This window comes from Homo sapiens, chromosome 12 (assembly GCF_000001405.40).
Source record: "Homo sapiens chromosome 12, GRCh38.p14 Primary Assembly".
NCBI classification, from domain to species: domain Eukaryota; kingdom Metazoa; phylum Chordata; class Mammalia; order Primates; family Hominidae; genus Homo; species Homo sapiens.
In genome coordinates, this window is record NC_000012.12 from 91,335,721 (window position 1) to 91,359,950 (window position 24,230).

The 24,230-nt window shown below is 35.9% G+C and overlaps 2 long non-coding RNA genes across 2 annotated transcripts in view; one reads left to right on the forward strand and one right to left on the reverse strand.

Annotated features, from left to right (window-relative positions):
• The window catches only part of LOC105369896 (uncharacterized), a 361,170-nt gene that overhangs the window by 59,496 nt on the left and 277,444 nt on the right, over positions 1-24,230 (reverse strand). Inside the window, exon 8 of the long non-coding RNA XR_001749251.2 lies at positions 17,365-17,515. This is a non-coding gene — a long non-coding RNA (uncharacterized LOC105369896). The remainder of the gene's footprint in view (positions 1-17,364; positions 17,516-24,230) is intronic.
• Positions 1-24,230, forward strand: part of LINC02823 (long intergenic non-protein coding RNA 2823) — a 41,681-nt gene that overhangs the window by 8,795 nt on the left and 8,656 nt on the right. The window contains exon 2 of the long non-coding RNA NR_183611.1: positions 3,827-3,912. This is a non-coding gene — a long non-coding RNA (long intergenic non-protein coding RNA 2823). The remainder of the gene's footprint in view (positions 1-3,826; positions 3,913-24,230) is intronic.

Sequence of the window (24,230 nt, forward strand, 5' to 3'; positions counted from 1 at the left end):
GTTAACTTACATTCTTTTTCCCCTACTGAACAATTATAAATTTCCTTGAGTATTAATTAGTAGCCTTAGCCAGATGTTAAAGTGTGGCTGATAAAATGTAGCATCATATTTCAAACCAAAATCCAAAGTCTAAGCAACATCTAATTTTTTTGGAATGTGGATTGTGAAACTTGAAACTACCAGAGTATTGGATGTGCTAGAGAAGTGTGAAAGGGTCACAACTGAACCAGACACATCAACCAGCCTAAAGGGCAACAGATGGCAAGGAATGTCTCAGAGTTGCCTAGCTTATTTTATCCCTATTCTTGGTAACATCTCCATTTTCTCTTATATTAGACGGTGTACTACATAGGTCCAGCCTCAGAATGCCTGCAAACCAACAGCTCCCTTCAGCCTAAGACAATTACTTAATAGAAGTTTTTAAGCTGACAACAGATGGATACATCACCATACTCTACCCACAGCTGATAAATTCATCAGTGAGCCCTTGACCTGGTGCCAACCAATTCTTACAACCAGTGACACCTATGAGGTGGCCTGGAACAGAAGGTCCAGGTACATAGATAATGGTGCTTATGGTGGAGTTTTCTGTTTTGCTTTGTTTTAAAATAGAATTATTGAAACATGCTCAACATAAATTTTGCACATTTTAATGTGTACAATTTGATTTATGATATATAAACATATATGTATATCAACATATTTATACCCATGAAACCATCACAATGAAGATATTGTGCAGCAAACCACCATGGCACACATTTACCTATGTGACAAACCTGTACATCCTACACATATACCCCTGAACTTAAAATGAAAGTTGAAGAAAATAAATGTTGAATAAATCTATCACCTCCAGACGTTTCCTTGTGCCTTTGCAATCCCTCTCTTACTCCTGTCCACCTTCCTTCCATAGAAGGCAATCGTTGATCTGCTTTTTACCAATCTTTGTTAATTTTCATTTCTTAGTATTTTGTAGAGATAGAAGAACCATACATTGTGTCCTATTTTCAATGGCTTCTTTCACTCAGCATAATTGTTTCACTAACAGTTACATATATGGTGTAGCATAAATTTCTTTTTATTGTTGACTAGTATTCTAGTTTACAAATATACAATGGTTTGTTTATCTATTTATCTGCTCGTGGACATTTGGACTGTTTCCAGTTTTTAGCTATTATATCACAAATAGAAATGATATGAACATTCATGTAAAAGTTTTCATAGGAACAATGCTTTAGTTAACTAAAAATCTAGGAATGGAATAGGTAAGTTTATTTCTAACTGTTTAAGAAACTGCCAAGCTATTTTCTAAAGTGGTTATACCATTTTACATTCATAACGGAGTGAACGGCAATTCTAGATCTTCAATAACCTAGCCAGCACTTAGTGTATAATGTTATCTCATTGTGATTTTAATTTGTATTTCCCAAATAACCAATGATATTGAGTGTCTTTTAACATGTTTATTTAATACCAGTATATGTTCTTTGGTGAAGAATCTATTCAAATCTTTTGCCTATTTTTACATAGGTTGTTTATTTTCTTTATTGTTGAGTTTTACAAGTTCTTTATATATTCTGAAGACACATCCATTGCCATATATATGCTTTGCAAATGTTTTTTCCTATACTGTACCTTGCCTTTTTATTCCCTTAACAGTGTCTTATGAAAAGCAGAATTTTTAATTTTGGTGAATTCTGACTTTATTATAGGCCATGCTCTTGATGTTGTATCTAGTAAATCCTAGCCCAGAGAATCCTGTGTTCTCTTCTAGAAATTGTATAGTATTAAATTTCATATTTAGGTCTAATATCCATTTTGTGTTATGTTCAAATAATGAATTGACATTGATTTTATGTTATGATGACATTTTCATGTGTTTTGCTTTGTTTTATCTTCTGCATATTATTTGATTATTCCAACATCATCTAATGAGAATATGATTCTTTCTCCTTTGACCTGCTTTTACACCTTTTAAAGAATATCACTGTCCATATACGTGTAGCTCTATTTTTGGAATCTCTGTTTTATTCCATTGATCTATTTCTAATATTTGTACAAATACAACATTGCCTTGATTAAAATCACATTATAAGAAGTCTTGATATTAGATAGTGTTAGTCCTCCCACTTGGTTCTTCTATTTCAAAGATGTTTTGGCTTCTCTAGATTACTGCATTTCCCTGTGAATTTTAGAAATTTTTTTTTCATTTTCTGCCAAATCAAAACAAAACAAAAACTAGTACTAAAGACCCATGGGTATAGTATGGGTCTCAGTATACTTAGACCTTCAGTAATTTCTGTCTGCAATTTTAGGCAGTTTTCAGTGCACAGATTTTTTTGGTGTTTTATCAGATTTTTCCTTAATAACTTCATATTTTTGCTGTTAATACATATGGTACAATTTTTTATTTTTAATTTTTGATTGTTGGTTGCTAACATATAGAAATATAACTGATTTTTATATAATCTATAAGTTTGTCAAACTCATAGGTTCTAATATCATTTTATATATTTCATTACATTTTTTATAAAATGTTTGAATAAAGTTTTACTTATTTCTTAGTGACATGAGTGCCTTTAGTTTTAATTTCTTTATCTTATTGCACTGGCTAGGGCCTCTGTTTTAATGTTAAACAAAATTGATAAGACCAGACACCTTTGTATTTTTCCTAATCTTGGGAGAAAGCTTTAAGTCTTTCACTATTAAACAAGATATTAGTTGTATATTTTTTTATATCTGAACTTTATCAGGTTGAGAAAGTTACCTGCCATTTCTACTTTGTTGACATATTGTCAGGAATGAATGTTGGATTTTTTTCAAATGCTTTATCTCATTAATAATAGTGTTGATTTGGTTTGTTCCTTTCAGTTTATAATATGGTGATTTTATCTGATACATTTTTGAATGTTAAAACAACCTTACATCCAGGATAATTACTACCTGGTCATGATGTATTAGTGGAATTATACAGATATCAAAACCAGACAAAAATGTTAACATAAAAGAACATTACATACCAATATTTTTCATGAATAAATATGCAAAAATAGATAGATATGCTACCCAAATTTTAGCAAGTCAAATCCAGTAATATATGATGACTATGTGTGGTTTAACCCAGGAAGGTAAGGTTCAAGAGCAATGGGAAGAGGAATAGAGAGGACTTGAGTAAGAACATGGAGTAAAATGAATTTGTGATGACTTTGATGTTGAATTACCCTCCAGTTCTGCATTAGTGCTATCATAAAACTCAAGTATTCCTTATTTTCTTATTTCAGTAAAATTTCTTTCTCCTGATTTTATATGTATCCTTAGCACAAAACCTCCATTAATTGAGAAATAAAGGTGGGTCTCTGCTCCTTGAAGCCAAAAACTCTTAACTAACAAAACATCCTTGATTATCTTTGTTTGTGATTAGGGTGTGCTTAGATTAAGATGTTTTAATATTCTCCATAATGTAATAGAGTTTATGGATCTTCTTTATGTTAACACTCAGCAGGCCCTCACCGAACAACTGACCTGACAGCTTCCTTGACTCTTCCCAGCCTCCAGAACTGTGATAGATAAATGTTTGTTGTTTAAGTCATCTAGCCTACGGCAAGTTGTTGTAACAGCCTGAACCAATTAACACATAAGGCTTATAAATGGTGATTTTGTGAGGAAAGATTTAGTTCCTCTAAAATTTTGTGAAAGCTTTTTACCATAAGTTGCACTTTAGGACATAAACCCTATTCCCTTTGTGTAAATACATAAAAAGAAGTCAATAAAGCCTCTAGGATTTACACCTCAAACTACTCCCTCTCTATCTTCATTCTGCCAGGTGGATGTCTCCAGGGAGGCCATACCTAATGAGGAGCTCCCAACAAATGGCAACTGATGTTACCTACAACCGAATACGTCAAGAAGGTTAGAAAAACCAATACAAAGTTAGTCTGTCAGAACCTGTGTCAGGCAGAGGGCTCCCGTGCCACATAGTTGCTTTAAGATGTTAATTGATTATAAAGCACAGTAGGCTCCCAAACAACAATTATACTCCAAAATGAAGTGGAAATCTTAATGAAGACATCGAGACACATCATAAGGACTTAAGTAGAATATTTAAAAAGAAAAATTTATCAGAATTCTCTAAAGCAGATTTTTTGATTACACAATGAGAATGAACTATATAATAAGGAGAGAAATATTATCTTTTGAAGAAAAACATCTTCAAAAAATAAAAAAAGTTTTAAACCTAGGTCAAACATCCTTCAAAACCACCCTATTCCATTTATTCTAATAACATACTCAGTAAGTATCACTGTAGTATTTGAGATACACTGAGAAGATTTCACTGGATAATAGATATAATTGTTCAAATTATTTTTCTATTTAGCACATATAAATCAAGCCCCTGTAGAGCTCCAGACACTGTTCTAAACATTGGGAATACAACAGTGAACAAAACATATATAGGTGGTTACAGATGTTATGAAGAAAAAAAAAGCAAATAACAGGGTTATAGGTTGATGGGGCAGGGGGAGTGCTATTTAAATAAGAGGATTGGAAATTAAGTTATAATAATAAGGTGACATTTAAACCGACATGTAGGCAGAGTGATGGAGTGAGCCATATAGAATAAGGCTGTTCCAGATATGGAGAGCAGCAAATGCCAAAAATCCAAAGCAGTTTTATGCTTGGCCATATTCAAAAACCAGCGAGGTGGACAATATGGGAGGAGCAGAGCAGGTTAAGTATCAGACTTCCACACTGGGGATGCTTCAGCCTCCTACCTCCCATTAAAGGTACTTCGTCTCTCATTAAATTCAACAACCTGCTTGCAAAATAAATTATTTAACTTCTGATTCCCCCAAGTACTTATCATCAACTGCTTTTCACATAGGCTTTAAAAGTTTCAACTTGTGTCTAATCTTAACACCACAGGAAAAAATCTTTTGTATTTGCTGTAGACTTTTTTTTATGTCTATGTGGATGTGTCCATCTGCGAAAGGCAATGGCAGGTAAAAGTGTCAGAACTGAACTCTTTTCTGTTCAGATTTAGTTCATTAAACTTCAAAGGGGCTTATATTTCAGTTTTCTATTGTCCACTTAAAAATATAAGAAGGATTTTTAAAAGAGCTAAATCTCCACATAAGAAAGATAAAGTAAAACTGTATTTGGAAAGTTTTCTTGGGAGCCAGTTTAGAATGGTTAGCAATACTTGTCAATGCAAGAGCAAATAAAACATGAACTCTGCGCACTTCTGCTAATTTACTGTAAAACCTCTTGGTAAGAAACGTCAAGAAATCCTTCTTATAAAATTGTCTTCTATAATACATTTATAACTTTTTTTCTGTTTATAAGATCTATTGTAATATTTTCCTGGATGTTTTTCAGGGAAAATAGGAAACAAAACAAACACATCACGCAAATTATTTATATTGGCTAAATTAGGGAGACGCTTGTTTATGCAGAACAATCAGCATCCACAAAGATTATGCAAAACACTGTTCAGTAACACCAAGTTTTTACAAAAATGATACACTGTTTCCCCTGTTCTTTCTCTGTAACTCCTCAGAAAATTCACTGGTTGCGTGTGACCTTAGCCTAAGGCAATTTTATACCTACAGTTTTTAAAGGTATGCTTGGAATTTCATTTGGAACAATTCCGTAATAATACGGACCTATCTTATACAGGAGAAATGATACTTTTTTCTTCTTGGTCATAGATTTTAGGAGTAAAGGAGAAAAGCAATAAGAGGTTAGCGGATGGAAGGTGTATTAGTCCATTCTCACACTGCTACAAAGAAATACCCGAGACTGGGTAATTTATAAAGAAAGGACGTTCAATTGACTCACAGTTCCGCATGGCTGGGGAGACCTCAAGAAACTTACAGTCATGGCGGAAGGTGAAGGGGAAGCAAGCCTGGGCCTTCTCACATGGCAGCAGAAGAGAGTATAACTGCAGGAGGAACCAACAGACACTTACAAAACCATCAGATCTCGTGAGAACTCACTCGCTATTATGAGAACAGCATGGGGGAAACTGACCTCATGATCCTATTACCTCCACCTGGTCTCTCCCTTGACATGTGGAGGTTATAAGGATTGTAATTCAAGATGAGATTTGAGTGGGGATAAAAAGCATAACCGTATCACAAGGCAAATCTTCATTCAAAGATAAAGCAAGAACAAAAAAGGGGTGGATAGAATTAATTATATTGCTGGGTTTTCTTCATGAAGAACATCTGTGCCTTTAGAGCTTTTCATTTAAGACACATGTAATAACAAACAGTTTAGTAATAGTACATTTTGGGGGTAATCTCAGATTAAAAACACCAGCATTTCCTGACCCAGGCAGCAAAGAAGTTATGGCTGCTGTTGAAAACAGGACAAATTTGCTACATAGCCTCTTGTCACTTTAAAAATTCACTTTGGTCAGCCAAGATTAATATGGGAGGCTCACAGTCCACACAAATTCTTCTGGGCCCCTGCTATTTGTCAAAACATCCATGTAATATTAATAGCATTAAGCAGCTCCTAAACATTCATATTAGTGATACCAGTAATACTTGGCCTTAGTGTCAGCTCAGCACTTCCCATTCTCATTGGAAAGGGCAAATATTTATATTAGCTCCACTTAGAAGATGCGTCTTAGGATACTGAAGCATGTAACTTAACCCACAAAATTAAAAATAAAGTCATTTCAATGTGACTTTTAAAGAAACACAATTCAGTTATAATATGGCTTTTTGAATATAAGAAAGAAAGTATAACTAGAATTGGGTTGTCTTATCATCCTGAGAGTTACAAGGATATATATTTCCTCCTGGAAAATAGTTATTTTGGACCCTGCCTGTTCAAGTATTTTCTCTGTCAATTATCGCAGATTTTTCAGGTCTTCAGGGAATTCATGGATCAAAAAACATAAGACAGTCTTTCCATATTGTAGAATATTTCTATCACTAACTATAACTCGGTGCCTATTTCTGCAGTATCCATCCATATTACAAAAGTTTCAATAAACACTGGAGTTGGAAACTTTGGTAGATTCTTGTGAGATTTCTGAGGTTTAGTTGCCGAAAGTCACAAAAGGTTGAACTTTTCTCAAAGATATTGATATTTAGCAGAATTGGAATGAAATTTCATCATGGTTTTGTGGCACTAATATAAATAGAAAAAAATCGTTTATTTTTTTTAACAGTGACTCAAACATTGATGATTTTTTTCATGTTGATATCAATAAATTTATCTGAAAGTAGGGGCTATAATACTGCTAGAGTTATCTAGCATGCTTTTGTTGTTGTGATTGTTTTCCCTTGTCCATAGTTTCTCTAAACATTTTATTTTTCTTATATCTTTACTAGGGTTATTTTACATATATACATCATCTCTTCATTCCACATGTGCCATTTTCATCCCATTTCTGAGTATTTTCCAGTGCACCACTCTCCTGTGTCTCATTTAGCTCTTATCAAATCTTTGTGTTATCACATAATAGAGTTACAGACGGTTTTAGGGCTAAATTATATTCGAAACCTGAGCTATGTTTTTCAATTAACTGTTTAAAATATTTTAAATGAATCCCTTATTTAGTGGTAAATCATTTAATTAGCAATAACCTAGAAGAGTGTATGGCACAGTAATAAACCTGGGGAAATTAGGTCATCCTGACTTGTTTTTGGAGAGCCATTTGACTGCCAGATCCCATGGGTTCCTTAAGAATACTATTTCCCAGAAGTAGAAACATTATTCTTTAGAGGCCCAAGTTGAAAGATATTCCTGGTAAATGGTATATAATTTTAACTTGCAGTGGTCCAGAAGAGAACCTGAATATGCATCTAAGGTGCTTCTCATTTGTACTGTCTTAAAGAACACAAATACACATTTGAGGCACAGGAAAAATGTCAGATTTCTACAAATAAAGTATTTGCACCTGTAAGTCATGCTCAATGCAGGCAAAAGACCTACAAGGAGACCAACATAAGAATATAAAATGTAAATGTTTTAAAAAAAGTGATTTCACTCTAAATTTTTTTCATTACCATAATATATTCCTATGCATATACACTCAGAAACATATCTAACAAGGTCTTATAATATAAATGAAAGAATCTAACATAACATGAAACTGCTACATATAAAACTATATCACAATTAAGCAAAAAGTAACACTTTTTAATCAGAGGCAAAGTGTTCATATATTTGAGATATAGTTTATAAGAAATAAATATCAATTAGACTGCTTCCAAAGAACAATCTCTAGAAAATACGGCATGTGAATATTTTATCCTCCATCTCAATTTTTTAGAGTGTGGATGACGGTTTACAGAGAATTGAAGTTGACAAGGCAAGGAACAGCTGAAAGTGCAGGCAGCCCTTAGCCAAATAAAGTTTCTAAGATGGGAAATATCCCCCACTGTTCTGTTTCTGGAACTGTTGCCGTCGCAGTGTGGGGCAAATAAGAACATGCAAATTTCTTGACAACCTTCTATATGCATGTCATCTAAAAATTGCATGTAGTGCTCACACCAACCACTCAGCTCACTCAGCTATTTTCACAGTGCCTGATTTACTAGCGAGAAAACAATAGCTTAAATAGATTAAATTATTTTCCCAACATCTCCCAGTGGGTAAGTGACAAAGTCAGGATGCATCCTCAGTTCTATGTAATTGTGAAGTCAGCAGTCTTTCTGTTAAATTCCATTGCCTTGCATTTCATAAAGACTGAGGGGGTTCTGTACTATGGAAAACTGATCTTGAAGACTGAGATGCCTATGAAATGAGAAAGACTAAATAGATAACATCCATGGAGAAATAGGAGGATGGGTAGGTGCCTGCCATGCAGGAAGTGAATATGTTATGTGTGTGAGCATGTACATGGTACCTAAGTGAGTACATACGTGGTACCTAAGGCACTGTGGTATACTTAATATAGGGCAGAGTAGAAAACTAGTGGAAGGAGAGGCCTCTCAGAATGGGGCATGACTGAAGAGTTAGAGGAATCTAAGGGAAAACAACAAGTCTGATAACCCAATTTATCCCAGAGTCAGGCTTGGGTTTAAGTCTTCTTGTCTCTATCATGTCTAATGTTTCCTCGGTGGTTGCTGGCATGCCTTGTCTTCTCCATTGATTACAGCAGTAACCTCTATGAGACCGAGGTCAGAGAGAGAATCTTTCTTTTTTTCTGAAGAGCCCCAGGTGTCACAGTGATCAGATAAAGCTGGCCAGATGACTGAAACTTCGAGAAGGCCCAATAACAAATGGAAAGAAATGGTTTGTGAATGGAGGCATGAGTGGCACAGCAAAAATTTCCTTTCATGGAAAGTTGTTAGACCATTGGGTGTTAATGTGCATGACCTCTCCATGCCCATCCCTCCATGGAAAAAGGCATAAAAGGCAGAAATCTTATGTTTCTGGGGTCCTCTGTCCTGGTAGATTCCCATGCTATGGGAGCTGCTGAATCTGACTTTGAAGCTCAGGGCACCGTCCTGTGAGGATAAATAGAGGGACTTAAGAGCCAGGCTTACTTGCCAGCATCCTTGACCATGTATTTATTCTATGCATTGTTTGTTTGCTGATTCTATAGTAAACAAAATCTATTCCAAATCATCATTCTCTCAATGGTCCAAACTAGACCAGCTTTAATGGTCTGGCCTAGTTCAAGCAGGATATAGTAATTGCTGATGTTTATTGTAAAGCACTTTGTAATTACCAAGGTTCTATCATAGATCTAATCTTATTTTTTATCATCCTCTCATGAGAAAGAAGGTATTTTTCTTCCCCAATCTTCAAGGTGTAGAAACTGAGTTCCAGATTTGTTAACTCCTTTCACATCTCACCACTAAGGAATTTGGGGCCAGAATCTATGTATCCTCCCTCCTACTGCCTTCTGCATATTATTTTATAAATAGCATAGGGTTAATGACTGATGGGAAGGTCGCGTGGATCATCACTGTTTTCAAATGAAAATTTCTCCCAATTTTGGGAACTTTTGGCTTCCCATTATGTTTCAGCACATTTCAAACCAAATATAAATAGGGATAAGATTTTACCTGTGGAGAAAAATCACAGAAACTTGAATAAATGTTCTTTTCAAGTTCAAAATTGCAAGTAACCAGAAAACAGTCTTGGGAAATATTCTAAATAGGGGATTGAGAGTGTAAAGAAAATATCCAAAATGCAAACTATATGTCATGTAATAGTCTAGAGGTAAACAAGAAAAGCTGCTTTGGTGTTTAGAAATGAGAAAATCAAAATTATATAACAACCAGCAGCAAAATATTCAATACTTTAACTCATAAAACAAATTTTTAGTCTCTGCTGACTTGGGAAGGAGGTAGGTCAAGGAACAAGGACAGGATCCTGGCACATAGCTTAATCAATGCAAACTGAATGGATGAAGAAATGAAAGGAGTTACTGCCATAAACACAGCTGAGAAGGAGAATGAGAGATGAGTCCCCCAAACACAGATCTTATCCTGTACCTTCCCACAATTTTTTCTTTAACAGTTTTTACAATGTTTGATTTTGTTTTTAATTTCTCCTTTTCCACAGCTCATGAATCCATAAGTTTCACCTTTCCCTGGATAGGATCAAGAAAGGTCCTATTGGAGTATAAGATTTGGATGTGTGATGGTTGTGGTAGAATGGGGTAAAGAGAAGGCACTTGTAGAGACACGCACAGTACTAAACCTAAACCTGCAGTACTTAAAGTTGTCACTACTTCTCTGTGTGCTCAGAGCTTTACTTCTATTAACTCATTTAATTCTCACGATTCTAGAAGGTTGATGTTCCTACTTCCAACTTATTTATCAAAAAATAGAGACAGAAGTAGCACATAGAAAAGGTGGCAGAGCAGAAATTGTAACCTGTATCTGTCTGAAATCAATGCTGTCTGCTGTTTTCACTAAACTATTCTCAGACCATAGGAATAATCCAACTTTTTCAGTTTGCTCATTAATAATGAGTAGTGATATGACTAATAACTGAATATAGCAAAATAGTTATGGACCTAGTTATAATAAATCCTGTTTTGGTCCTCTCTACATTATACCAAAGCTAGCCTTTGCTTTATTAGTTAGAGATAAATTTTGAAAGCATATCGTATACACAGATAGCATTCCCAATAAAAGCACTGGTTGCATAAGTAAAACCCAAATGCATTGCCTCCGCAGAGCCTATGCCTCCAGTATCACATAATCAGGGGTAACTGCTGTTTTTCCCATAAAAGTCCTGGTAGCATCCAATATTGGAAAACCTGGTTAGAGGCTGGAGGCTCCTGGTGTCCTTTGCCTAGATACCTGGCTACTCTAAAGGCCTGAGTCATCAGTTTCAGAAGGTTGCAATCCATGTGCATATCTCAAAATTTCCTTTTATATTAGATGGCATAAAATACAGATATGAATTTATAATTCTTGAATTAATCAAAATCACAAACTAAACTGAATCAAATGTAATGTTTCTTTTTCTTCCCTGCTTCTAAGACTAAAGTCTTAGAATTAAAGACATCCAGAACTGTGTTTAAAATATTCTATCCATCACCTAAATCCATTCAGAATGCAAAATTATTCAACAGCTCTTTAAAAGATTTCTTCAAACTTTACATAATTCTATCCTTTTCTGATTCTCACATATTTCCTAGCATAAATTTGATTGCAAGAGGACGAATATTTTGACTTATTTAGAGAAAGAAAATAGTTTTCTGATTAGTTATTTAAATAATTTTGACAAAGATGCTCTCCAAAACTCTTAACACAAACAAAAAGTGATTTTGAAATACTGCTTTGGATTCTTCCAACTTAAAATGAAGAGGAGAAATAGAAACTGGCATGTGCTTAGAAACATTAGTTGTAGACTTGGGTTGCTGAATATTCCCTGAAAAGTAATATAACATTTTTTTCCTTTGAAATAACAAAATAATGGCATTAACAGCCCATAGCCACAGTGAAAAACTGGAATAACAAGAGAGTGGGAAAAAAATTCCAAGGTGAATGCCAAAATGCCAAGGTAAAATGCAAAGAATGATAATAGCTCTTCATTTTTCTAAGATGAGTTTTCCAGTTCTGCTGGGAATAAGTATGGGAGTTAGTTACAACTGGTAGCACATCACATGGTTGCCACTTCTAAAGTTTGCTAAGAACAATTACAAAATCCTAAATGGTAGTTATTCTTGAATATTTGCTCTCAAATCTCATTCTTTACCAGCTCAAACTGAAGTTACTGCTGCTGGTTGCGAAAATGAGAGGGTTTTCTGGTCTTAGTTAACTCCTTTGAAATCGCAGACTCTTGGAATTCAAATAGATGACACGCATGGGAAATCAAACATAGAACTGTCCTTGTAAGTAGGAAGAGTTAGAAGCCCTTTGCCAGCTTTATGGAGCCTATAGAATTGTGGTGTCATGTATGCCTTCTCATATGCTGGGAAATTTAACCTTTATAGTCATTTGTGTCATAAAAGCATCCCTATTAAATGTAAATATCCCTGGACCCATCATAAGCCTAATAGATTCCATCTCCTGTCATATTAGGAACTGGAAAACTCTATTAGGAAGAAACACTGTATAGAAGATGGGTTGAGAAAGATTGTAAGAGCAAGTGGAGGTTTACTGTGTGAAACATCACTGTGATTAAACAGCCATGTGTGTTGGCTGATGGCAGGGGCATGAGGGAGAGGGCTTGGTGGAGGGTTCAGGGAACAAAGTCATATACAGTGCTCTTCTTCCAGCTCTATTTTACATCATTATTAGTTGATAAATAATAGGAACGTCAAGAATGAGAGGTAAGTTGTTAAGTCTCATTTTATCTATTAATTATTAAAGAAAAAATATTTATAACACTTGTTGAATAGTAGGGCAGACTTTACTCAAGACCATTGCATTAACCATAGGGACCACTGAGATGGGTTTGCGATAGAGGAGAAAGGTTGGGCTCAACTCCATATACAATAAGGAAAACTGGGAATTTATAGCCTGTGAGCCAGGTTGCAGTAGGAAGGTCAGTGAATGGAAACACACCAAGAGGAGGCATCAGGGGTAAGAGGCGATTCTGGTTAAACCAATGTAGCAGAATGCCTGCTGATGGCAGGCCAAGGTGATCAGACACTACATGGGGAATGGTTGGGAATGAGGAAACTGCTCAGATATACAGTGTGATCAGATACTGAGGGTGGAAGGTTCTGGTTAAACTGACTTATCAAGATTGTTTCTAATATTGGACAATGCAGAAACACAGAAGCCCAAAAGTCAGGACCTAGTTGAGAAGAGAGTTCAGAGGCGCCTGATTATGGCACGGGCAAGGAAGAAATATTTGTCCACATTCCTGCACCCAGTGTATCTTTATATTTACTATGTTAATGAAAGTAGAAAATATTCATCTAATAGGCCATAATATAATATTTCTACACCATATAGGAATACATTTTACTTTAATAGAAGTGGAACTGAACAGTCACTGGAAGGATATCCATTATAGATTTTTCCATGGTGGGGTTGAATGGAACTTACTTTTGTATTATAATTTAATGAACAGTCAACCAGAAGACTTAAATTCTAGTTAAACCATGCGAATGTGGACAAGTCACTTCTCTTTTACTTCAATTGTTCTCCTAGAGTTGGCTATGTGCTTTCTACGCAAAAGTCTGCCTCAAGCTTTCACAGGCAACACTTTTACCAAATGGTTTGTCACAGAACAACAAAAGTCACTGGATCTCCAGGCTGCAATATCTATTTGTTTGTTATTCACTGCCTGACTGCAATTCAATTGCCTCATATTTATTATAAAATAATAAATATCCATGCATTAATCTCTGTGTTAGCTAGTTGCTCTATCAAAATTAATTTTAAAATGCAGTAGATTTTACAAGACAATAGTATATTAGTCACTCTCACAAGCAGAGATGAGCTGTCAGGGGTTGGAGGCAGCTACTATCAACAGTTGTCTTCGGTCCTTGCATCTGAAGAGAGAGGGTGATGTGGAAGTTGGCACAATAACTTACATGCACATTCCACTGAAGGGGAGAATTTCAGTCACAAGGCTGCACTTAAAATTAAGAGCTTTTATTACTAGCAGGAATAAAGAAAGAAATACTGAGAGATAATTGGCAGGCTCTTCTACAGTGGACTTCGAGTCCAACAAGCAAAGCTCCATATTTATAATCTTTGAGAATTTTTGTTTCCCAGACACCAGTCTCTGTGCTCTGCCCAACCTCTGTCCCTCAGTTTAATATTCTTTATTTTGAAGTAATTGTTTTTAAAACTAGCCTTGGAGATATACGCACAAGTCGTTTAACAAATCTCTCCTACCAGTTGTATATAATAAATGTTCCCCTTTGTTGGGTGCAGGCTGTTTAATTGGATTTATTAGTCCTATATTTTTAGTTTGTAACACAAAATTTGTTTGGCTTTGTTTTCAGTCCTTGAATGTTTCATGTTATGAGGCTCTTAGTTGACTTTAGACTATAAGTCATGGGCAAAAGGACCTTTCTTTGTTTCCTTCCTTTTTTGCATCCAGGAATGCTTCCTTCATCTTAGGTTGATATCTTTCTTCTAGTTAGGGTTGCCAGAAAAAAATACAATATGCCTAGTTAAATTTGAAATTCAGAAAACTTTTTTTTGTAATATAAAGTATATTGCATGTAATAATTTGGACATATTCATACTTCAAAAAGTTGTTATTATTTATAAAAGTAGTCAATATTTAAAGTTAAGTAGGTGTGCGATGTTTTTATTTGTTAGCAATTCCACTCTTAGAACAAAACTGAAAGCTGCAAGAAATAGCTATTTTCCCCCTAAAATAATACATGGTCTATAACCCAACTCACAATAAGCATCATAGTGACCAAAGGCTTTGCAAGAGCAAAGCAAGGCACCAGCCTTGAAACTTGAATAGTCTAGTCCTCACCTCACTCCTTCAGATGATCCCATCTGCCAATTTCATATCTTAGAATATGTTATGTATAGAATCTCACTTTGGTTACAAAATTTTTACCAGAGAGGATGTTCTGACTGCAAGTGCCAGAAATTCACCTGAAAATAAGTATCGTAAGTAAAAAGGGGAATGGATACTTGATTTGCCAAATGTCCTGTGACAAGGAGGCTCGAGGATTAATGCAGTGGTTGAAGAATAGAATTAGGAACCAGGCTCTGTTCTTTCATACTGCTCTGCCACTATTTTTTTCCTCATTGTCACAAGATGGTTGCTACATTTCAGGGGTCACATGCAGACAAGATCCTATTCAGTGGACCAAAAATGATTATTTCTGAGCTGCTTTATAAAAGAAAGGAAATCTTTTAAAAATGACCTCAACTGATTTCCTCTCACATGTCATTGTCCAGCACTGGGCTATATTTATATCCCTAAATCAACTACTATCCAGGGCAAGAGAGTATGCAATTGGATTATTTATCAACATTTACCTCTGAGAAATATTCAAGAAAGATGGATACCCAATACACATTACCAGTAAGGAAGTAGAATTGGAAAGCAATAACAAAAAAAGGAATTTATAAAGGACTATCAATCATAATTTTAAAAAGTAGGCTTCTAATAGAATAATTTTTTAAGATGCGTCATTTTTCTTGTGAAGTGTCCACAAAAACTGACCATTAAATAAGCTACACAGAAAATCTCAAAAAATTGCAGAAGCAAATAACATATAAGAAGTTAACAAGTGAAAGCCTCTAAAATTTGTATGTGTATAGTTTTAAAAACATATTTATCAGTAAGTCTTAGAGTAAAGAAGGAAATCAAAATAGGAAATTACAAACATTTATAAATACTATAACAAGCATATAATATTTAAATGCTCAAAGAGTAAAGCAATAGTAATCAAGACAGGATGGTATCGGTGAAAGAATAGACAAATATATCAATGGATAAGAAGTGGGAGCCCAGAAATAGACTCATATAAATATAGATAACTGGTCTTTGACAGATAATATAGCTTAGATATTTGTCTCTTCCCAAACCTCATGTTGAAATGCAATCCCCAATGCTGGAGTTGGGGCCTGGTGAGAGGTCAATGGATCTTGGCGGGAGATTTCTCCTGAATGATTTAACACCAACCTCTTGGTGCTGTCCTCAAAATAATGAGTGAGTTCTTGTGAAATCTGGCTGTTTAAAAGTGAGTGGCACCTCCCTCTCTCTCACTTGCTCCTGCTTTTAGCATGTTACGTGCCTGCTACCCCTTCGCCTTCTGCCATGATTGTAAGCTTCCTGAGGCCCTCCTTAGAAGCTAAGCAGATGCCAGCAGCATGCTTCCTATAAAACCTGCAGAATCATGAGCCAGTTAAACCTCTTTTCTTTATAAATTACCCAGTCGCAGGTATTCCTTTGTAGTAATGCAAAAACAGCCCAATACAACAAAGGAGCAAAAGCAATATCATGGAGCAAGGATTGTTCTTTCAGCAAACGGTGATGGAACAAACGTCATGTACTGCAAAAGTTAATGTCAAAAGAATGAGAAAATAAGCCACAGAATAGGGCAAATATTTGCAAAAGACACTTCTGAGAAAGGACCGTTACCCAAAATACATGACGAACTCTTAAAAATCAACAATAAGAAACTAACAACTAATTTAAACATGGCTAAAGACCTTAACAGATACCTCATCAAAGAAGATGTATAAATACCAAATAAATACCAAATACCAAATAAAAGATGTCCAACACCTTATTTGTCTTAGTCTCTTTAACCTATTATAACAAAATGCCATAAATTTGGTAGCTTATAAGCAATATAAATTTATCACAGTTCTGTTTTTTTTTTGTTCAGATAAAATATTATAGGTTTATTTATTTAAAACTTAATTCTCACATTGGGTATGCAAAATACAAACTCCATAAAATGTTCATTTTACTTTGTACTTTACAAATATACAAAATACGCTGGGTGTGGTGGCTCACCCCTGTAATCCCAGCACTTTGGGAGGCTGGGGTAGGTGGATAGCTTGAGGTCAGGAGTTCAAGACCAGCCTGGCCAACATGGTGAAGCCCTGTCTCTAGTAAAATACAAAAATTAGCTGGACATGGTGGTGGGTGCCTGTAATCCCAGCTATTTGGGAGGCTGAGGCAGGAGAATCACTTCAACCTGGGAGTCAGAGGTTGCAGTGAGCCGAGATCATGCCACTACACTCCAGTCTGGGCAACAGAGCAAGACTCCATCTCAAAAACAAAACAAAACAAAAAACAAAAAACAAAACAAAAATATACAAAATAGAAATTTATTTAAATTTATATCATATATTTATTAAAGCAAGGAAGTATACACACACAAAAAATCTGTTCTTGGGAATAAACCATTGTACAAATTATTGCACATCTAAAACCACAGTGCATAGAGATTGTATAAAAATGTCAAAGATGTATGCCAGATGTATTTACCTGACTTAGGTCACAATGTAGATCAGAAGACAAAGATTGGGGTGCCAAGTTCTGATGATCAGGTTCTGATGAGGGCCCTTTTTCAGGTTGAAGCCTGGGGACTTCTCACTGTGTTCTCAGATGGTGGAAGGAACAAGAGAGCTCCTTGAGCCTATAAGGACACAAATTCCATTGATGTGCATTACCCTTGTCATCTCCCACAAAAGCAGGGATTTGGGGTCTGTTCTATTTAGTGATTTTTACTTGAGCATTGTGTGGAATATAGTAGATGCTTTCTAACTCTGTTGTATGTCAAAAATGAATCATTATCATTTTATGGATGACAACATTAAGGCATAGAGAGGTTAAGCACATTTCCCAAGACTGCTCATGAAATAAGTGGCAGGAGTGGGATTAGAAGCTAGTCAGTCTGTCTCCAGAGTTAAGGATTTCAACTTCTATGCCACATTGTCTCCACAGGGCTAGAGTTACCGTACTGGTAATATAGCCAGATTTATGTAGTGAGAACCAAACTGTGGGAAAAAAATCAATAAATATGATACTTCAAGCAATTATATAAATAACAGCTAAAACAAAAGAGAACTGAAATGAGAATGTGGCACCCTAGAACAGCTGACATGGGACAAAAATACCTTGGAACCCACACTCCGAGTCAAGAAAAAAATCAGCATTTATTTCAGAGCCTTGGTATATTATAAAATTATTTTATGTTTCAGTTAATCATACAGCAAATATATTCTAATGATGGCCAAAATTAATTATGCTCCTTGGTAGAAGTGATATAAACTTTTAAAAATAACTATTCTTTTCTGTTTGTTTTTACTTATTTTAAGTTTAGGGGTACATGTACAGGTTTGTTACATAGATAAACTTGTGTCATGAGGGTTTGTTGTACAGATTATTTCATTACCCAGGTATTACGCCTATTACCCATTTGTTATTTTTCATGATTCTCTCTCTTCTCCCACACTCCACTCTCTGAAAGGTCCCAGTGTGTGCTATTTCTAGCTGTGCACCCATGTGTTCTCATAACTTAGCTACCACTTATAAATGAGAACATGCAATATTTGGTTTTCTGTTCTTGTGTTAGTTTGCTAAAGATAATGGTCTCCGGCTCCATTAACATCCCTGCAAAAGACATGATCTCATTCTTCTTTATGGCTGCATAGTATTCTATGGTATATATGTGCCACATTTTCTTTATCCAGTCTATCATTGATGGGCATTTAGGTTGATTCCATGTCTCAACTACGTTTTAACAGAGACACAAACCAAGCCTTGATGAGGGATTCTTGTTATATCATTCTGAGAACGTGTCTCTTTGCCTTCTTTCTAGCCTCTGTATGGGTTGGAGGAGTCTTGCCTGTGAAATGTTTCCAAGAGTACAAGCCCAGTAGCAGCACTGGTTGCAAAAGAGGTAATAAAATGTTCAGGATTAGGGATCCCCAAGTGGGCCAGCTGAAGACCATACTGCCATGAGAGAATTGGTAGACAATGGATATTGTAAAACAAATCAGAAATCCTACTTTTTTCTTTTTCTGAACAAGTGGAAGTGAATTTCAGGGACCAAGGCAAGGAAGAAGCATTGTGCTCTGAAAGTGTCCTTGACTGCACTTCTGGTTATTGTCAGGAATATTATGTGTTATGTTTGCTGGCGTATGCCTTTCCTCTATCCTCAGTGTTCTTGCTTTTCCATTATTGTAAAACCAGGACTCAGTAATCTTAGTAATGGCAGTAATCTTAGTAAATGGTAGTAATCGTAGCAAATTGCCTTAACCTCTTTGAGCCTACTTTTCATTATCTGTAAAATAGGGCTACTAGCCCTTAATATGTAATGTTTTCATAAATATTTAATGAGTTGAAATTTAGAGTGCTATGCATATGCCGTGGCAATTAGCAATCAATAAATAACAAATAATAGTAGCCACTATTAATGCTATTTATCTGAGACCTAACACATGAGCTTGTCACACAATATGTGTTCATTAAACATATGTTACACATATGAGTCTGATTGTGAACTTTTACAGAAGACTGACTACCTCTTCCCTAGACCCCATCATATTGAGGTACTCCTAGTTGGTGCTTAGTGCATTTGTTCATGCTAAATATTTACAGGGATTCAACAGAGAACAAATCTGGTGTTGAAAGTATCGAAATTTAGAGTCTGATGAAGACGCAGTCTCCAATTTTTCTACCTGGTAAAGTTGCCCTGGTGTGGATATTATACTTTGTCTTCCGTCATGTAAATGAGCTTTCTTAGTCTGTTCACTAGCACTGGCCTCAAGTTGATGTCCCTCTTGCTTGATCTTAGGGATGGCTGGCATCTTGAAACATTTTCTCCATGCCAGTAGTCATATTTGAAAAAGGAGGTGGTGAGTTCTCAAATATGACAGAATGTCTATGTTTTAAAATTTGCTGAATATGGGAAATTGCCTTGGGCACGGCTTTCATTAGATGCTGGGGTTACAGACCTGGGTGCTGAGTTAAGCTGCATCGCCATCTCGTGGTCAGTTGATGTGGTGGCCAGAGACAGAGCGTTTAATGAGTATGTGAGTGAGCAGATTTCATATGCTAGAGTTGAAGGGAACTTGGGGGTCACCTTGTAGACCTCTCTTACTTGTACACAAGAAAAATGAATAGAAGAAAAGAAATGACCCAATCTTTTTGTTACAGAGGTTAATCACAGAATTGCCATCCCATTTAGTTGCTATTTCTCTCAACAGTGTGCAATATAGGATGTGTGTCTTTAGCTGAATACTTGAGTTTTCATGTAGTTGCATGACTTACTATGAACATGAACGCTCTTACTTTTAAAATGGGGCTGATATTATTGTTGTAAGTATCAGTTGAATGATGGAGTATGCAAAAGGACTTTATAAATAATTAATTATTGAAAGAAATCTAAATATTATGTTTTAAAATTTTTTTGGTGTGGAAACAGATGCCGTCTCATTCAAAGTTGCATCTGCAGTTGAAAGCCACTCACTTATTTATTCATAAGTTAACTTCCATGAGTATGTATTGGGCAGTTGCTATGTCATCACCACAGGAAGAAAGGACACAAAGAGTAAGAAAACACAGACTTAACTCTTAAATAAATTACAGTCTAATGATGAAGAAAACATTAATACAATGTGCAATGTGTTGTGATAACAGATATTAGAGTAGATCCCAGAGACTGGTGCCAACTTCAGTGCTTGCACATAAAAAGAGAGTGTTCAATTCTGTGAGTTGGGGTGGAGCAGGGTTGCAAAGACAGAATAAGCTTTATATAGGCAAAAATAAACTTGAGTTAAGTCTCAGGTAAATACCAGTAGTATGCCAGGGAAATAGGTGAGGGCAGTTGGGAAAAGGAAATTATGTATATGAAATGCTAAAACCCTGAAAAACAAAACTTTAAAAAGAACAATATTATCTTATAGTTATGAAAATATTTTAGTTCTGGACATATGTCTTAAGGAACTCATGGATCTCATTCCAAACAAATGACAAAATAATTTGGCTTGGGGCCAGTATTTCATAACATATAATAAAATTTGATATTTTTTGAAATTATGAAAACTAAGATAATTTTAAATTGTGGAATACGTTATACCATAAAGAGTCAATAGAAAATGATGAGAATCAAATGCTTTATGAAAGCTCATCTAGACTAATGGTTTTATCAATTTCTATATTACACACTCATCTTTTAGTTCCATGTATTAACAGCTGTTGGAGTTTTTTTCTATTTCCCTTTCATCATACCAGGTATTTGAAAGAAAACCTTAATGGCCTAAAAGTCATACTTTCTCATTTCAAATTCCTTCTAGTTTTCTTCACTATCCTCTGGCATTCAGAGAATTGCTTTGTAGACATATTGATTGACGGCCATCTATCCACACATCAGGCATTCTAAATGGCTCCCTTCTGGACTATCTCAGAAGAAGAAATATTCATTAGCCCTTCAAAACACAACACTGAGGACAACTCTGTCAAAGAAGATATTTCTACGCACAGCGAAAGTCAAAAATTACATTATTCCTGGGTATGTTTTCCTCTACCTCTGCACATCAAGGAGAACAGAAAAACTTAAGTTTTTAGACAGATAACAAGGTCACAAAATAATTTGAAAAGAAAGCAAGCATAGAGAATTTCCAAAATGCATACAAGGCTGACTGTGTTTTAAGAACTTGGTTTTTGCCTCTCTCATTTTTTACTTGCCCACACAAATACCGCACTTTTCAAAGAGGTACTGTGTCCTGACTTTATGCCTGCTTAGGTTACCCATGCCTTTAAGTGCCTTCCCTACCGCTGACTCTCATCCTTACCTTTTCAGTGACAACCATCATTCAAGATTAAGCCCAGAAATTGCAGCCTCTGGGAAAGAGCTGACTTTCTAGGCTGGAATATATGCATGTTCTATATGCTCCCTTGGCACCTTGTGCTATTTTACTGTGGCAGATTGATTGATTGCAGGCATTATTCCTGTTTTTCCTGCCTCTCTGTTTCATGTGTTTTGCAGTGGAACTTTGAACCTCATCCCATCAAGAGGCTATTTCCTCATTCCTTTGAATCTGAGTTTGCCTTGTGATTTGCTCTGGCCAATAGAATGCAGAAGAATATTTGTTTGCCAGTTTCAAGCTAGCACTCAAAAAGATTGCATCGCTTATAATCGAGGACTTATAAGATCCTAATAATTGCTAGGGGAGGGATAGCATTAGGAGAAATACCTAATGTAGATGACAAGTTGATGGGTGCAGCAAACCACCACGGCACGTGCATACCTATGTAACAAACCTGCACCTTCTGCATATGTACCCCAGAACTTAAAGTATAATAAAAAATTTAAAATAATAATTGGATACTAATTAATTGCCCAGTTTCTCCATGCAGTAGTCTTCAGGCATCTGCCATTATGGTGGCTCATAAGAAAGATAACAAAATACAGATGTATTAAGGCTTTTCTACACTAAAGGATTTCACTAACATAGACCAGAAAACTGCACCCTGAGGTCAAGCGGCCTTGCACAGTATCTTTGAGACTACTATCAAGGCTTATCTTGAGAAGTGGGTACTATCAAATATGTATGCCAGCTGAGGGCAAAAGTGAAAGCAAACAACTGATAACATACATACATATCTAGTGAGTTCTTTCAATCTCAAAAGGATGCTCAATTATTTCTTTGACTACTGTCAGTTTTCATTAATTAACAGAAAAGATTACTGAGAAATATATATTACTTTGTAGGGTTAGTTGGTTTAGTGGTGTAATTATTCTTGGCAGAACTCTGAAAGGACACAAGTAATAACACCTTCAGATGCCAGTTGTCTTGGCATTGAAGACTTGAAATTATCCCTTGGTGATTTCCAATCCTGCCAAACCTCTGTGAAAAAACACGCTAGGCATATAGTGTCCCAATAAGGAAAAATCACTGCGTCAGAAAAAGTGCCTATGATCACCAATGTGCTTGAACCTATTAATTATAGGGAACTAAACATTTTCTCTGGGTTTTGTGACTCCTATTGGAGGTTTCATTGACTTCTCAGTTATCATAGTAAAAACCCTGGGACATGTGGTTTAAAGAAGGAAAATGTTAAGTGCAATTGGAGTGCGTTCCTGCTTCTCCACCACCTCCCTGAAGCCCCGTCATATCCCTTGTTAGTTCTACCATGTCTTTCAGATGCCAATTTTTAGTCCACAGGAGGAACATGAGCATGCCAGAAGCTGTCACCATGTGGAATTGTTCTGAAAGTCACACATACTGTCCTCTTCACAGGTTAACATTCCTGGCCCAAGAATTTACCATTGCAGAAAAGTAATATGGATACTTTTTGAATTATGACATAATAGTTCATATATGTGCATACACCAATGCTTAATCAGATAACCAAATGGCAATGAAAGGCAGCCATAGCTGGCCCAGCCTATGGGCCTTCCTGAAAATACCGTATTCAAAATAGTGAAATTATTCTCAGGGAGGAGGTGAGAAAAATCAGGGATTCCAAAGGGATGGTACATATTTCTGAGAATGAAAAGTGGCTCTATACCGTTCTGTAAGCCAAAGCCTGAGGTGCCTCCAACTTGTACCCACAGAGATAGTCCCTCACCAGGTATGACTTTCACTGAATTAGATCACTTCCCATCCTTTCAGTATATAAGTCATGAGTTGTGTAATTTGAAACAAAGACTGGAAAAGAAAATTGTCTATCAAGGAAGAAATGCAATTCTTCCTTACGCAAAATAAATCCAGAGATAAAGCCCAGGGCTCCTAAATTATCCCCATAGAGTCTTCCTCTATCTTCTCTTTTATCATCTTTTGTGTGTGGCTTCTATCCTCATGGTCACCTTCCAGTTCAAAACGGGGAACTCAGACCCTGGCATCACATCTATATTCCAACATAGGAAGAAGAAGGAATAGAGAGGGAAATCAGACTTTCCTAGCTGCACACGAATTTTTTTTCCACGATGCTTCACTGAAAATTGTTACCAAAAACTTAATACTACTGGCCAAAAGTTAGTCATATGTACCTGGCTGAAAGGGATGCTAGGAAAGACAGTCTGTTAGCTGTGAACATTGTTGACTCAAATTACTTTAAGTTCTATTACTAAAAAAAAAGTAGAGAATGGATACTCAGAGGACAACTAGTCAAATCTGCTCTACTAAGTTAAGGATATGAGAGAAGGAAGAGTAACAATGAACTGACCCTGAACTGATAAAAATGATGACAGGCAAGAACTTCCAGGCAAAGGGCAGAAGAGTCAGGTTAGGTTCCAAGAGTGTAAAGTCTTGGCTGCAGATTGGAGCCATCCAGAAGTTATTAGTGCAATGGAATATTAAGAAGTTTAGGATTTAGAACAAGATAAGTGGGAAAGAAACTGT